The sequence below is a fragment of the Homo sapiens genome, chromosome 11 (assembly GCF_000001405.40).
Source record: "Homo sapiens chromosome 11, GRCh38.p14 Primary Assembly".
Taxonomy (NCBI): domain Eukaryota; kingdom Metazoa; phylum Chordata; class Mammalia; order Primates; family Hominidae; genus Homo; species Homo sapiens.
Window position 1 is genome coordinate 57,242,929 of NC_000011.10, and position 17,735 is coordinate 57,260,663.

At 43.3% G+C, this 17,735-nt stretch overlaps 1 long non-coding RNA gene across 1 annotated transcript in view; it reads right to left on the minus strand.

The window, feature by feature from the left end:
• Positions 1-4,425: 4,425 nt before the first annotated feature.
• LOC107984364 (uncharacterized) overlaps positions 4,426-17,735 on the minus strand; it is a 28,972-nt gene continuing 15,662 nt past the window's right edge. Inside the window, exons 2-3 of the long non-coding RNA XR_001748067.3 lie at positions 6,524-6,806; positions 4,426-4,780 (exon numbers count right to left, since the gene is read on the minus strand). This is a non-coding gene — a long non-coding RNA (uncharacterized LOC107984364). The remainder of the gene's footprint in view (positions 4,781-6,523; positions 6,807-17,735) is intronic.

Below are 17,735 nucleotides of genomic sequence, written 5' to 3' on the forward strand. Positions count from 1 at the left end.
GCCAAAAAGATCAAAAGTGGGAGACAAACTGACCCTCTTGTTCTAATCCCATCCTAATTCATTCACTCAGAAAATATTGAGCAACTACTGGCCGGGCACGGTGGCTCACGCCTGTAATCCCAGCACTTTGGGAGGCCTAGGTGGGTGGATCACCTGAGGTACGGAGTTCGAGACCAGCTTGGCCAACATGGGGAAACTCCGTCTCTACTAAAAATACAAATATCAGCCGGACATGGTCGCGGGCGCCTGTAATCCCAGCTACCTGGGAGGCTGAATAAGGAGAACCACTGGAACCTAGGAGGCAGACGTTGTAGTGAGCCGAGATCGCGCCACTGCACTCCTGCCTGGGCAACAAGAGCGAGACTCCATCTCAAAAAAAAAAAAAATTTGAGCAACTACTATGTGCCAGGCTCTATTTGAGGCACTTGCCATACAGTGTGAGCAATTCAAACTATGCCCTCGGTTTCCTGCACTTTCATTCTAGAGGTGGAAGAGAGACAAAACGATGAAAGTTAGATAAATGCAGTGAACTCAGGTAATGATAAGCACTACAAGGAAAGATAAACTGGAGAGTGATGCAGCGAGTAAATGGAAACTGGCATTTTCAGATAGTATAGATCGGGGAGGTTTCTTAGGAGTCACTGATATCTTACCTGAACTCCAATAACTAGCTTGCTTTGTACCCTGGGCAAGGCTTTTGCCCCTCTCTGTGGGGCAGTTTCCCTATCTGTACATGAGGACATTGGGCCAGCCGGGTTTAGCTTTCTGTGATTCTGGGAATTATGGCTATGGCTTCCAGATGTGATTGGAGAAGTGGGTTTCTTGCCAAAAAGATCAAAAGTGGGAGACAAACTGACCCTCTTGTTGATGAATGGCAAGATCACATGAGAATCCATTCTCCCCACTACAGCACCAAGCCCACTTTGACGGGCTATTTGTTAGACTGTGAGAATCAGGGGTCTGGAAGCCTTTCCTTATCTCCCACCCACCTCCTGTCACCCTTTTACCTACCATTACCCACCCATCCCCCCATTACTTGGCACAGCGCCCCATACATAGTGCCCTCTAATATATGCACTGGAATTGTAGGACCCCCATTTCTATAACCTCTGGAGTAATCAGAACTTTCTTAGGGGCTGGGCCTGGTGGCTCACCCCTGTAACCCAGCACTTTGGGAGGCCGAGGCAGGTGGATCACCTGAGATCAGGAGTTCGATACCAGCCTGGCTAACATGGTGAAACTCTGTCTCTACTAAAAATACAAAAAATTAGCTGGGCGTGGTGGTGGGCACCTGTAATCCCAGCTACTCAGGAGGCTAAGACAGGAGAATTTGCTACGAGCCAAGATCACAGCATTGCACTCCAGCCTGGGCAACAAGAGTAAAACTCTGTCTCAAAAAAAAAAGAAAAGAAAAGAAAAGAAAGAAAGAACTTTCTTAGGACAATCTGGATGGGGCACTGGGTTCCCATGACTTAGAACAGGAAAGATGCCTAAAATTTTATTAGCCCATTGATTCCCACGCTGACATCAGAGACCCTTGATGATAGAAATGGGGAGAGAGGCAGTAGCTTGGGCCAGCATCAGCATTTCATGAAATCTTGTGGAAATGGCACATTCTTCTCACCCTATCATAAGACAACCCTCTTTAAATGTCAAGCACCAGCACCGCGAGCTTAGACTTTAATAAATTAGTGTGGGGACTCTGGTTACTCCATGCTGCTCATCATGCCTTTGATGAATAAAAACTGAGCAGATGAATTCATTACGATTTCATAAACAAGGTGGGTTAGATCAACAGACTCCTTCCTTAAAAAGGATTCACTGTGGGGAGAACAGGAAAGCAAGCGAGACAGTCTTTGATGCCGAAAGGTTGTGGCTGCGATCTGCTCCACACACTTGACCTTACCCATGGGGAAAGCAAGGGAGGGAGAGCCAAAGGGTTTTGTCCAGGTGTCCCTATGCCACCCTGTCTTCTCCTCCCACCCCCAAAGGTTAGGTGCAGAGGAAGTCTTTGTTTGGCTGAGAGGAGGGACTTGGGCAGGAGGCCGTGAAGACAGGAAGTACAGCAGAGGCAGGAAGGAGGTCAGGAAGAGGCTGACAGGACCAGGCCGGCTCACACCCAGCCCTGCCAGCCTTCAGGAGAGCAACATGGTGTTTCTAAAAATATTTACAGTGAGTCTACATTAATGAGATATATATCAGCACTGACAATGGGAGGATGCTGGGCCAGGCCCTCCAGGGTAGAAGACCAACGCAATTAGCCCAGAGGCTGCACAAAGGCAAGGCCAGCCTTGTGGGAAGGCCTTGTGGGAAGTCTTGGGGAAGGCCAGCCTTGCACAGCTAAAGGAAGAAATCAAGCCTTCCACCCTGGGGCCCAAACAGGCAATGGAGACCACAGTGCCCCAGAAACCTCCCCCGGGGAACAGAAAACATCCCAGATTCCTGGACCTGCAACGAGCATCTTCAACCTGCATCCCTGACCCCAATTCAGTGCAGAAATCTCCTCTACCACACCCACTCTGAGGACCATCCAGGGGTCTCTTGAATACCCCTGTTGACCAGACACTCAATCCTGCCTCCAGCAGCCCATTCCCATTCCAGTCTTGGCATCCCTACCCATTCAACCTTCAGGAGAGGAGAGTGGTTCAGAACATAGAGGCTGGAGTCAGGTAGCCACTTACAAGTCACTTTGCCATGGAGCACCAAGGAGTGTGATCATTTCAAGTCTTGGTTTTCTCATCTGTAAAATGGGAGTCATTAGAATATCTACTGCCCCAGGGCTGGTATAAGGTTTCAGCAAGGTAAAGGAGACAGCATGCAAAGAATGCCATGTGGACAGAAAGACACAGGCTAAGGTGCAAAGATGCAAAAGGAAGAATTTAAGGCTGGGTGTGGTGGCTCACGCCTGTAATCCCAGCATTTGGGAGGCCAAGGCGGGCAGATCACAAGGTCAGGAGTTCAAGACTAGCCTGGCCAAGATGGTGAAACCCCACCTCTACTAAAAATACAAAAATTAGATGGGTGTGGTGGCGGGCGCCTGTAATCCCAGCTACTTTGGAGGCTGAGGCAGAGAATTGCTTAAACCTGGGAGGCAGAGGTTGCAGTGAGCCGAGATCGCACCACTTCAACCAGCCTGTGCAACAAAGTGAGACTCCATCTCAAAAAAAAAAGAAGAAGAAAAGAAAAGAAAGAAAGAATTTAAAATGTCCTAGGACTAAAGTGACATAAGGCTAAGAAAATTAGCAAATGCCATTTTGCTGCTGAAGAGCTAACACTGCACTGTGCAGTGGGCGAGCCACTTGCCATGTGTGGCTATGGAGGGCTGGAAATGTGGCCAGGCAGATGGTGGGACACTGCAGGTGTAGAACACACACTGGGTTTCAAAGACTTAGTATGAAAAAAGAACGTAATATATCTCATTAGTAATTTTTTTCTATTGATTGCATGTCAAAATGATAACATTTGGATATATTAAAGTAAGTACATTGTTAAAATGAAGTCTACTTCTTTTGTTTCTTTTACTTTTTTTTTTTTTTTTTTTTTTTTTTGTGAGACAGAGTCTTGCTCTGTCACCCAGGCTGGAGTGCAGTGGCGGGATTTCAGCTCATTGCAACCTCCGTCTCCCAGGTTCAAGTGATTCTCCCGCCTCAGCCTCCCGAGTAGCTAAGATTACAGGTATGTGCCATCATGCCTGGAAAATTTTTGTATTTTTGGTAGAGACAGGGTTTTGCCATATTGACCAGGCTGGTCTCAAAATCCTGACATCAAGTGATATGCCCACATCGGCCTCCCAAAGTGCTGGGATTACAGGAGTGAGCCTCCATGCCCAGCCTCGTTTACTTTTTTAATGTGTCTACTAGGAAAATTAAAATCACATATGTAACTTCTGTTATAGTCCTATTGGATAGTGCTGAGCTGAAGGATCATATCTAAGCCTTAGGATGCTCACTCTGGAGGCATCTTTGAGGATGGGTTAGAATGGGTTAGGCTCGTTAGGAAACAGGTGCAGTTTTTCAGACCAAAGGCCCATATTAAGGAGAAGACTCCAATTCCAATTTTCCAACTACAGGTAGTTTGTCACCAACAAACAAAAAATAATAATAATAATAGTAATGGCTCTTACTTATTAAGTGCTTACTCCATGTCAGCAGGCACTGTTCTAGTGAAGGACCATGATTTTAAAAAGTGAACTCTGAAAGCAAAAATGCCTGGTTTTAAATCCTGGTTCTGCTAGTATACGAAGCCTCAGTTTCATCAACCTTAAAATAGGGGTAACCGTATATAGCATTGTCAGAACTACGAGATACTAGGCTTAGATACCAGACTTAGGTAGTCATCTCTTACTATTACTCCCATAGTAACAGGTAGTGTATTGCATCCTAATAGGTAAAGTTTATTACCAGGCACTGTATAAGCACACTCAAATGCTTTTTCCCAATGTAAGTTTTAATGCCATCTTTTACATTATGATCCCCATCTTACAGATTGGTAAACTGAGGTTCACAGAGTTACTTCACTGTCTCAGGACCATGTGGCTTCTGAGTAAGACAGAGAGGATTTGAACCCTTGGCTTTGACTCTAGAAGCCTGAGAGCTCTACAGCCAGGATGTGTTTTCCCAGCACAAGGCCATGCTTCTGCATTCAGATATGACCTGCTGTTGCTTCATTGGAGGGAGGGAGGAGATTTCTCAGCAGAGAAATCTCATAGATGGATCCCGCTCTCTCCGCCTGTCTGAAGGATGATGAGATTGAGTGGAGAAAAATTCACGTAGGCTCACAGCTATGATGATAAAAAGATAATTTGTAAAACCAGCATGTTTGTAATTACTCATTGACCCATAGACATAAAGATCAAGCTATGAATAACTCCACAATAGCAGCAATAACAATACTAGTGAATAATACTAGTAACTATTTACAATAGCAAAGACTTGGAACCAACCCAAATGCCCATCAATGACAGACTGGATAAAGAAAATGTGGCACATACACACCATGGAATACTATGCAGCCATAAAAAAGAATGAGTTCATGTCCTTTGCAGGGACATGAATGAAGCTGGAAACCATCATTCTCAGCAAACTAACACAGGAAAAGAAAACCAAACACAGCATGTTCTCACTCATAAGTGGGAGTTGAACAATGAGGACACATGGACAGAGGGAGGGGAACATCACACACTGGGGCCTGGTGGGGGGTGGAGGGCAAGGGGTGGGAGAGCATTAGGACAAATACCTAATGTATGCAGAGCTTAAAACCTTGATGATGGGTTGATAGGTGCAGCAAACCACCATGTCACATGTATACCTATGTAACAAACCGGCATGTTCTTCACATGTATCCCAGAACTTAAAACAAAATTATTAATAATAATAATAATGGCTCTTATTTATTAAGTGCTTACTCCATGTCAGCAGGCACTGTTCTAGTGAAGGACCATGATTTAAAAAGTAAACCCTGGAAGCAAAAATAGCTGGTTTCAAATACTAGTTCTGCTAGCATATGAAGCATCTGTTTCATCAACTATAAAATAGGAGTAACCGTATACAGCATTGTCAGAATTCTGAGATAATAGGCTTAGATACCAGACTTAGGTCCATGCCTGGCACAGGGCGAATGCTCAGTTAATATTTTCTGTTACAATCATCTCATTTAATCCCCACAATAACCCAATGGGTAGAGAGGATCAATAGTGATAAATGGGAATGATAATATTCCCAGTTTACAGATGCAGAAACTGAGATGCGAAACAATAAGAAACTTGTCTAAGCCCCTCCATTTCTCAGTATTGGAGATGGGATTCAGACCTAGGAGGGCTGGTTTGAGGATCTACAGTCTTAGCTACCATGGTAGACAGTTCTTAATCTTAAACAGTTTGTAAAGTCATATTTTTTTCTTATTCTTCTTCTTTAATGATACTTTCCATCTTAGTTCCTTGAAGTGTGGAACGTGCCTGCCCTGCCTGCCCGAGGCTTTGACAGAAGCCAGTGGGATAGTCAACAGCTTTGTGTGAGCACAGAGAGAGGTAGCTGCCCCAGATGCTGCGGGGCTCTGCTGATGAATGACCCATCAGTCCCACGGGTCCCACAGGTATCCAGCGGCAATCTACCCTTGCCAAGAAGGCACAACACTAGTGCTACAGCATCTCCCACTCTTAGGACTGCTCGGGCCCTAAGGATGGTTGGGGAGGTGGAAAGAAGAACTGGACATGGGTGAGCCAGCTCAAGCACAGAGCTGCCTCCTGAGCCTGGCTGTTTGGCTGCTGTGCCTCTGATGGCTCGGTGATGCTGACCTCTGGTGGAGATGAGCTGCTACTCAGCTTTGACCTCCCTCTGAGCACCAGGAGTCCCAGCACTGGCTTCCAGCCCCGCCACCGGGATGCAGACCCAGCAGCCTGAGACCCCAGAGGGTGCACCTAAGCCCAACCTCTCTCCTTATTCCAGGGCCCTGTGGTATCTGGAATTGTCTACCCTGGAACCTTATGGCTCAGGGGCTAGAAGAACCCTTAGCAAAAGGAACTTACCCAGCTGATGATTCTGACGCTGAACAGGCGCTAGAACCCAGCACAGGTCCCAGTCTCTTGGAGAATTAAGGCCTCGGCCTCTCCACCTAGTTCAGTGTTTTGAGCTACACATTCTCTTCTGACATGTGGTTACACCGCACTGTAATAATACATGTTATGACACTGATATAGAAAAAGAAATGTTCTTGTCTAATTATTTTCTGTTTGGGTGGTGCAGAAGTAAAACCAAGAGACGTTGAATCATCCTCAGTATTATTCATCACTCTTCCTCAAGCATGTCACTCTGTAAAGACAACATATGAAAGGGAAAATGTTACCCTGTTTTATTAAGGAAAATTATGGACTAGAAAAAGACTGCTTTTTTTTTTTTTTTTTTTTTTAATAAGCTGACATTGATAGAGAAAAGTTGAGCCAAATCTCTGGAGGCAGGAATCTCATTGCTGAGCACCCAGCGCCACCTTGTGGCTTCTCGCAGGACAGCGATTCCAGCTTCCACTCATTTCTCTACCCACCACTAAAAACATTTATTGAGCATTTCTTATGTTCCCTTTCACCTGTTTCTCTGCTGAGCCTCTTATCTGAATCTTTTATCTCAATGAACTTTGCACTGAAATCTCTTTCGATACACTCATTAATTTTAGCATGGGAAAAAGGGTGGCTACACAGTTGAGTTGGCCCACATAAGAAGGTGTCTATGGAGATATTCTTTATCCATGAGCCCTCCCAGTTATTCCAATGTCAGCCCTGGGACCCTGAAGATCACTCACAGATTTAATTAGACAAATCTCTTAAAATATGTGTGTATATTTTCCTTTCCCTCTTTCTCTTTCTGGAAATACGTTTTCCTGTTTCTCAGGCAGCAGCCACTCTGTTAAGACAGGGGAACTTCAGCACAGACAGGTTGCGGGGGACACAGCTAATTAGTGACTGAGCCAGAGCTGGGGCTTCAGGGCTTTGTGACTCACTCAAAAAATGTCCACTAAGTCCTTCCTCTGTAGGGGGCCCTATGCTAAGCTCAATGGTAAATCAAAACCCCACCCAGGATTCTGCCCTCGAAAGATAGAGCCTTGTCAGGGACAGAGGCATCTACTAAAGAATGATGTAAAAAAGTAAAGCTGTAACTGTGCAAAGTATTACAAGGAAAGCTATGTCCACAGACAGGATTTTTAGAGTCTGACTTTTAGAGACTTCAAAGGACTGAAAATATCATGGCCCCCTCCATAATCTATTTTAAATGAAAACAAACAATTTAAAGATAGGTGTAAAGAAATCCCCAAAAGCCTTATTTTTCCCATAATGACATCTTTGAAAGTATTTTATGCTAAAAGGAATCAAATAGCATGTTATGAAAAATTGGGAGTGACCCTGTTTCTCTAATGCCTGAAAGAGATGTTTAGCCAGCCTGTTGGGGAATCCAAGAGTGGATACATATATAATAGGAGTTTGACCTAGTCAGGAAAATTTGGAAAGACTTTCCTAAGAAAATGGTAACAGTACTGAGAGCTACAGGATAAGAAGCAGAGAGGTGAAAACCATGACGAACAATTACAGCAAGCACTGGGCAGATCGTGTACTTCCTGCAGAAGCTGGGAGCTTGAGACAGCAGAGGCTGAAAGAAGGTGGGAGAGGCTGGAACAGAGGACAATGAGGACTGTGTTGTAAGAGAAGACAAGGAGCCAGACCACACTGGGCTTTGTGGGACACCTTGAGGAGTTTTGCATTTATCCTCCAAGCAATGGAAAGCTGTCGAAGGGTTTTAATTGGCAGGGCATGGTGACATGATCCAGTTGGTGTTACAGAAAAGCCACACTGGCTGTATGCCGAAAGTGGATTGGCAAGAGGACAAGCACCTTAGCCTACTGTCCTAGTTTGTTTTGTGTTGCTATAACAGAATGGCATGGACTGGGTATTTTATATCAATAGAAATGTATTGGTTCATGGTTCTGGAGACTGGGAAGTCCAGTGTCAAAGTGGTAGCATCTGGCCAGGGACTCCTTGCTGTGTCATCCCATAGCAGAAGGTGGAAGGGCAAGAGAACACAAGAGAGCAAGAGAAAGAGCAAGAGGACAAGAGTCCAATAAGGAGACATTAATCCCCAGGAGAGATGATAGGAGCCTGGATTAAGAGTGTGGTAGATAAAATGGAGAGAAGTAAGTACACTTGAGCAATATGTTGGATTGGGTATGGGTGTAAGGAAAAGGGAGCTTTTGGGACGTCTCAGGTTTCTCACTTGCTGGAACTAAGTGAACATGGTGTGGCTGAACTGGTGAGCAAGCCCCAGTATCTACTTTCTCCTTTTTCCTTTAGTGATTGCACCGGAGTCTTCTTACATGCCAACTTCCGATCTTCTCAGGCTCACTTACCTTTTTTATCAGCTCTGGGAGGGTTCTGATGAACCCAAAGCAGGCACAGTCTGATAGCTCCCTCCCCTCTGGTCCCTGCTATGCCTTTCTCACCTCCCACATGGGCTTTTGCTGATTTCACTGGACTTGGCACGGTGCCCATGTTTTGCATGGAAACTCAGAAAAGCAAAAGAGTCGGCACTCCACTGAAAAATGTTTTGACCAATGAGAAGAGCTACTGGAGATATTCTTCCTGCATTCTCTCCCAGAGGTCTGGTCCTCAGGAACAGTTGATACAACTTCTTGGTGTCTTGTTTCTATAGATTGGTCAATTAACATGTACCCTCATATTAGTTGTCTCTCTTTTCTTCTTCACTCTCCTTGTTAGTTACTCCGATTTGTAAACTTTCAGCTCCAGACTCGCTTTCCAGGAAACACAGTGGTATGGTTTAAATGTGTCCCGCAAAATTTATGTGTTGGAAACTTAATGCCCGATGCTACAGTGTTGAGAAGTGGGAACTTTAAGAAGTGATTAGGTCATTAGGGCTCATGAATTGATTAATGGATGGATTAATACCGTTGGATAGACCAATGCTAATAAATGGATTAATTCCATGACCTCAAAGTGGGTTAGTCATCATGGCAGTGGGTTTCCAATAAAAGAGTAAGTTCAGCCCCCTTCGTTTCTCTTGCTCTCTTGTGTTCTCTTGCCCTTCCACCTTCTGCCATGGGATGACACAGTAAGATGTCCCTGGCCAGTTGCTACCACTTTGCCACTGGACTTCCCAGTCTCCATAGCCATGAGCCAATAAATTTCTATTCATGTAAAATACCCAGTCCATGCCATTCTGTTATAACAACACAAAACAAACTAGGACACTAGACTAAGGTAGTAACATAATATCCAAGTTTTAGCTGGGAACACACTACCCAGCTATAGACTAGATGTTCCACCTCCCCTTACAACTACCTGAAGCCTTATCAAAGTGATATGAACAAAGTAATGTGTGCTTCTTCTGGGTCACATTCTTTAAAAAAGGAAATTGCTTACTCTTTATATCCTTTGTTTCTCCTTTCTTATATGGTGGAACATGGATGTGGGATAGCAAGCCAGCTTTGACCATGCAGATGAAGACAACATCCAAAGGGAAGCAGGGCAACAGAGCAACAAGACACTGTGTGCAGGAGAGCTGAGCCACCTGTCTACCTCTGGCTTATTAATAGAAAGAAAAATGACTATTTTTAAAGCCCTGTCTCTCTGCCTCATATCTTAACTTGTACCATAACTCACACTTAGGGAACAGTGGAACAAGACCAGGCTTGAATGCAGTTTGGGGCATGTTGCATTTGAGAAGGTTTTGAGAAATGTAAGTGAAATATCAATTGATCAGTTAGGCACAAGTCCAGATATCAGAGGAGAGGTCTGGACTGAAAATACAAGTTTGTGAATAGTCTCCCTTTCACGTGTGGTTGGTAATTAAAGTCTCTGTGTGTGTGAGATGGTCTAAGGAGAAGGAAGAGAGTGAGAAGAGAAGGATGCCTGTGGTAGGCAGCTTCTAAGGTGACCCCAATTATCTGCACCTCCTGGTATTTTTGTCCATTTGCAATCCTCTCCACTGGAATGTGGGCTGAACCTAGCAACTCATTTCAAAAATATATAATATGGCAAAAGTAATGGGATGTCACATCCAAGACTAGATGACAAAAACACTGGCTTCCATCTTGAATGCCCCCTCTCAGTCACTTTTTTTGAGAGAAGTCAACTTCATATTGTTAGCTGCCCTGGGGACAGATCTATGTAGCAAGGGCCTGAGGAAGGCTTCCACCCAACAGCCAGTGAGGGATTGAGGCCCTTAGTCCAACATCTTGTAAAGAAAGGAATTCTGCCAACTACCTGTGAAAGAGCTTGGAAGCAGATTCTACAATCCCTCTCAAGCTTTCAGATGACTGAGCCCCAGCTAACACCTTGCAACACCTTGACTGCAGCTGTATGAGACTCTAAGTCGGAAACATCTAGCTAAGCCACAGCCAGGCTCCTGACCCAGAGAAACTGCAAGATAAAAAGTGCCTGTTGTTCTAAGCTACTAAGTTTGAGGAGGATGTGCTTCTCGGCAATTAATAACTAAGACAGAGCCCATGCAAGAGCCCGGAGGACCCTGTCGTTTAGTAGCTGGTAGAAGAGAATGAGCCTAGAAACTTTATACATCAGGGCAATCCAGGTGAGTGCCAAATGTCTTTATCAATTTTGTGCTGCTATAAAGGAATGCCTGAGGCTGAATACTTTATAAAGAAAAAGGGGTTATTTGACTCATCATTTAATGGCTGGAATGTTTAAGATTTGGCCTCTGCATCTGGTGAGGGTCTCAGGCTTCTTCCACTCATGGCAGAAGGTGAAGGGGAGCCAGCTTGTGCAGAGATCACTTGGCAACAGAGGAAGCAAAAGAGAAAGGGGTGGGATACCAGGCTCTTTTTAGCAACCAGCTCTTACGGGAATTAATTGACTGAGAAGCCACTCGCCTCTGAGAAAGGGCATTAATGTATTCATGAGAAATCTTCCCTCATGAAAAAAACACATCCATTGGGCCCCAACTCCAACACTGGAGATCAAACTTCAACATGAGTGTCGGAGGGGACAAACATCCAAATCATAGCACCAAGTCATAGAATCCAAGAGAATAGGACTGGTCAATAAGGAGGGAATAGTCAAGAGTGTTGAGATGCTGCTGACAGATCAAATAAGATGAGAGAAGAATACTTGATGGACATTGAGATGCAGAAGTCACTGGTGACCTTAGGACAGAAGCCAATATCTCAGGACTGATAGCCCTGGAAAACCCAACCATTTAAAGTCTCTAGAAAATATCCTAAGGGTATATAGCAAGTGAAAGATTTACTCAAAAACTAAAGTTCAATAAAACAGCAAGAGTCTGTGGAACTTGAGCTATGACATGTGTGCTCACTCTCTCACTCACTCTCTCTCTTTCTCCCTTTCTTTTTCCCCTAGTCCTACATTCTCAGTCCAGACAGACAATAGAGGCCTCAGTCTGAATGGATGTGGTCAAAAAATGTGACTCCTTCTTCCCTAAGTTCCCAGACAAGGGACATAATATTTCACTGGGAAAGACAGACCACCAGCATTTCTCATTTCCCCAAACTCCAAAATGCAGAGGATAAACTCCTGGGAATTGTGGGCAAACTATCAGGAGCTCACTTTCTCCAGCTAGTTCTCATTCATGGAGCAGAGATTCACCCCAGGCACAGCAGACTGAGAATACGGGGGTCTTGATTACCTTTAGTTTTAAGGCAGAGGTTCCACACTGGAGGAGGCAAACTGAGAAGAGGAAGAGTTAACCATTATCACTCAGTGCCCTGCTCTAGTATCTGGGTATCACTCTAAGAGAAGTGGGTCATTATCCCTGTTCCCAGATCCAGAGAAAAGGTTCAAAGACTTTGGCCAGTAGGAGAGGCAGTTAATAAGAACAAAGAGCTCCAAAGCTCTCTCAAGATGAACTGACTTTATTTGAAACAGAGTGTAGGGAAGTTCAAGCCTAAGGGTGCTCTAAATAACAGTGGAGATTTTGGTAGTAAGTAATAATAAATGGAGGCCAGTAGCTCCATTAGGGCAGCAAGATAAACCAAAGTCCAGATCATTTACCAGAGATAATTATGGTAAGAGTGAACTAAGAAGAGGCTTCCTGGAGTCAGGTAAAATCTATTGTTGAGTTCCTTCAAAGTCTTGCCTTTAAAACTACCTCCGCAAAAGTCCTGCATTTAATTTGATCAAACTGCAAAGCAATTTATGTTCCAGTGCATTGTTTAAAACAATAGAGAAATCAGATGACAATTAGTGAAGGGTAAAATCTCAATGTTATACTAGCAGTCAGACAGTTTAACAAAGAGATCTAAGAAAGAGACAGTCAAAGACAGTCCAGCTGAGACTAGTCATGCAGGATGACTGTATGCATGCCCGTGGCTAAACTCTCTGAGGAGTGACATTAGAGGCTTCATATTAAAGGGGAAATAGGCTTCACTAAAATAGTTCAGCCAAGTCACTAGACAAATAAACACACAAAGAACAACAAGAACAAACCATGGAGGGAAGACAGACTCACTCTCCAGCATTCCTAAAATATATGACCTAAAATGTCTGGGTTTCAACAATGAAAAAATGCAAAGACATGCAAAGAAATGGTAAAATGTGCCCCATACCTGGGGGGGTAGTAGACAACAGAAAATGCCTGTGAGATGGCACAGATATAGATTTTAAAGATGTCAAAGCGGCCATGATAAATGCTTTCAAAGAACTAAAGGGAATTATATTTAAAGAAGTAAATGAAGGTATGATGACAATGTCTTATCAAAATGAGAATAAAAATAAAGAGACAGTGATTATTTTAAAAAGAACAGAATGGAAATCCTGAAGTTAAAAATGTATAGTTGATATGAAAAACTCACTGAAGTAACTCAACAATAGATTTTACCTGACAGAAGAAAAAAATCAGTGAGCTTGAAGATGGGTCAATAATGATTATGCAATACAAAGGACAAAGATAGGAAAAAAAATGAGAAAATAAACAAAATAGAACACAGAAATGTGAGATACCATTAACAGCAAAATATGCATAATGAGATTGCTAGAAAGAAATGACAAAAAGAAATGAGCAGAAAAAATACTCAAAAAATGGTGGAAAAGTTCTTATTTATTTATTTATTTATTTATTTTCAAGAAAGCCTTGAACTTCTGGGTTCAAGTGATCTTCCCCTCTCAGCCTCCCAGGTAGATGTGCACCATGATGCCCAACTAATTTTTTTAATTTTTTTCGAGATGAAGTCTCACTATGTTGCCCAGGCTGGTCTTGAACGTGTGACCTCAAGCTATCCTCCTGTTTCAGCCTCCTGAGTCACTGGAATTACAGACATGAGCCACCACACCCAGCAAAATGTTTTTAAATTTAATGAAAAAATACCATCTAAGAAGCTCAATTAACTCCAAGTAAGATAAATACACAGCAATCCACATCCAAACACATCATGGTAAAAATGCTGAAAGCCAGAGATAAAGATAAAATTTGAAAGCAGCAAAAGAAAAATGACTTGTCAGCTAGAAGACAACCCTAATAACATTAACAGTCAACTATTAGACACAATAGGTACCAGAATGCAGTAGGATTACATACAAAGTGCTAAAAGAAAAAAAAATGGTCAACTAAGAATCCTATATCCAGCAAAAACAGTAAAAAAAGACTAACAAGCCAACTTTTAAATGGGCAAAGGATTTGAAAAGACTTTTATCCAAAGAAGATATACAAATAGCCAATAAGCATGTGAAAAGAGGCTCAACATCCTTAGCTATCAGGAAAATGCAAAGCAAAACCACAGTGAGATACTATTTCATACCCAGTGGGATGACTATAATCAGAACTACAGACAATAAGAAGTGTTGATGAGGATGGAGAAAAACGAACCCTCATAACACTGCTCGTGGAAACATACAATGGTGCAGTTGCTTTGGAAAACAATCTGGCAGTTCCCCCAAATGAGTTACCATATGACCCAGCAATTTGTCTCCTAGGTATATACCCAACTCCTATTATCTGGATGTTTATGTCCCCTCAAAATTCATATGTTGAAATCCTAACCCCTAAGATGATAGTATTAGGAGGTGGGGCCTTTGGGTGGTGATTAGATCATGAGGTAGGAGCTCTTGTTAATGGGATTAGTACTCTTACAAAATAAGCCCCAAAGAGCTGCCTTGCCCCTTCCACTGTAAAAGGACATAGCAAGTGACACCATCTGTGAGGAACAAGCCCTCAGCACACACCAAATCTGCCAGTTCCCTTGATCCTGGACTTTCAAGCCCCCAGAACTGTGGCAAATAAATGTTTTCTGCTTATAAGCCACCTAGCCTATAGTATTTTTGTTATAGCAGCCCAACAGACTATGACACCAAGAAAAATGAAAACATGTGCTCAGACAAAAATTTGTACATTCTTGTTCATAGAAGCATTATTCATAGTAGCCAAAAGGGTGAAACAACTCAAAGGCCTAACAACAAAAATGTGGTACCTCCACATAGTGGAATATTATTTGGCAGTAACAAGGAATGAAGTACAAATACCTGCTACAACATGGATGATCCTTGAAAACATTGTGCTAGGTGAAATTAGCCAGTCACAAAGAACCACATATTGTATGATTCAATTTATAGGAAATGTCCAAAATAGACAAATCTATTTTTAAAAAGTATATTAGTGGTTGCCTAGGGCTGGGCAGGAAGAAGGGGAGGTGAAAAGGGCAGTGACTGCTAATGGGTATGGGGTTATTTTTGCAGAGTGATAAAAATGCTCCAAAACTTATTATAGTGATGAGTGCATACCTCTGAGTATTCTTTAAAAAAATTGAATTGTACACTTTACACTCCCACCAACAGTGTATAAGCATTCCCTTTTCTCAGCAATCTTCCCAGCATCTGCTGTTTTTTTACTTTTTAATTCTGACTGGCATGAGATGATATCTCATTGTGGTTTTGATTTGCATTTCTTTAATGACTGGTGATGCTGAGCATTTTTTCAGCCATTGTGAAAAGCAGTGTGATGACTTCTCAAAAAACTTAAAACAGAATTATTGGGTATGTACCCAAGGGAACATAAATCATTCTATCATAAAGACACGTATATTCATTGCAGCTACTCACAATAGCAAAGACATGGAATAAACCCAAATGCCTTTCAACAGTAGTCTGGAAAAAGAAAATGTGGTACATCTATACCATGGAATACTATACAACCATAAATAAGAACGAGATCATGTCCTTTGCAGCAACATGGATGGAGCTGGAAGTCACTACCCTAAGCAAACTACCACAGGAACAGAAAATCAAATACCACATGTTCTCACTGGTAAGTGGGAGCCAAACAAGGAGAACACATGGATACTAGGAGGGGAATGACAGACACTGGGTGGGAGGAGGGAGAGGATCAGAAAAAACACCTACCTAGTACTATGCTTATTAGCCAGGTAATGAAATTATCTGTACGCCAAACCCCCATGACATACAGTTTATCTATATAACAAACCTGCGCCTGTATCCCTGAGCCTAAAATAAAAGTTAAAAAATAGGCCGGGCATGGTGGCTCACGCCTGTAATCCCAGCACTTTGGGAGGCCAAGGTGGGTGGATCACTTGAGGTCAGGAGTTTGAGACCAGCCTGGCCAACATGGTGAAACTCCATCTCTACTAAAAATACAAAAATTAGCCGGGCATGGTGGCACCCACCTATAGTCCCAGCTACTCGGGAGGCTGAGGCAGAATTGCTTGAACTCACAGGCAGAGGTTGCAGTGAGTCGAGATCATGCCACTGCACTCCAGCATGGGTGACAGGGCGTGACTCCGTCTCAAAAAAAAAAACAAAAAAAGTTAAAAAAAATGAATAAAAATAAATACAATTTTTAAAAAGAATTGTACACTTTAAATAGGTGAATTGCATGGTAGATGAGTTATATCTTAATATAGCTGTTATCATTTTAAAATGAAAAGAATCGAGTTAACAATTAGGTGAAAGCAAAAAGAGATAATGATAGCTACCCAGGGGAGGAATTCAAGGACACGTGGAAGGGCTAGCCTTAGGCAGGAGGACGGAAACCTCCTACCCAGGGCACTGGGATGAATGCAGGTGTTATAGGTTTGAAGATTTGGATTTGAGAGTATGACTGTTCTCATCTGATGGCTGAACAGGTAGACAGAGGGTAGCAGCCTTGAAGTTTGAAGAGAATGAAGAAGAAATGAAATAGTTGTGGAGGTGAGATGGTGGTCGCTGGGAGTCCTGCAGTACTGATGTTGCCTCACACTCCTGCCCACTGGCGCCCTCTTCCCACTTCTCCCTTTGGCCCTCCATGCAATTCATAAAGGGCTTCTCAAACAAAAGTGCTCATTGGGGGTCGGAGTGAGGGAAATGGTTGCCAGGACAATGAGAAATTGATAACCTTATTCAGATCTGGAGAACAATGACAGAGAGAAAGTGCAAAAGAGGAGGAAGTCAAAATGGAAGGGGAGAGGAGAGGGAACCTCCAGCTCCACCCTGGACTTTTCTAAATCTTTCAGCAGGGCCATCTCAGGAGCACGCACCATGTGCCATTGCACAGAACTCCATGGCGGAAGTGGCTCCCTGTGGTTTCACGTTCTGCTTTCACTGCCTTGAAATTCTTAACAAGTTGAGTTTTTTGTTTTGTTTTGTTTTGTTTTGTTTTGACAGTGTCTTGCTCTGTTGCCCAGGCTGGAGTGCAGTGGTGCCATCTCTGCTCACTGCAGCCTTGACCTCTCAGGTTCAAGCAATCCTCCTGCCTCATCCCCCCAAGTAGCTGGGACTACAGGCACATGCCACCACACCCGGCTAATTTTTTTGTATCGAGATGGGGTTTCACCATGTTGCCCAGGCTGGTCTTGATCTCCTGAGCTCAAACAATCTGCCCACCTCGGCCTCCCAAAGTGCTAGGATTACAAGCATGAGCCACCATGCCCAGCCTAAAATTCTTAACAAGTTTTAAATAAGGAAGTGCACATTTTTATTTTTCACAGGCAATGTAACCCATCCTGCCCTATAAAGAACACTTGTCTATCCAGAACATGGACAAGAATGTCTTCTCTACAGCTAGGAAAAAAATTACAAAGCTCAGACCTGGACTGACCCAAGAATAAAACCCCAGATCATTTGTCTTCCATAGCCTAGTTACTCTTACTTTCCACAAAATTCCAGTGAGGAACTATGGTGTTTAAAGGTATTCGTTGCCACTCCCTGAGGAGGGGGGATTATGCTTCCTCACCCCACTGACATCTGGCTTGGTCGTATGATTTGCTTTAGCCAAGAAAATGCC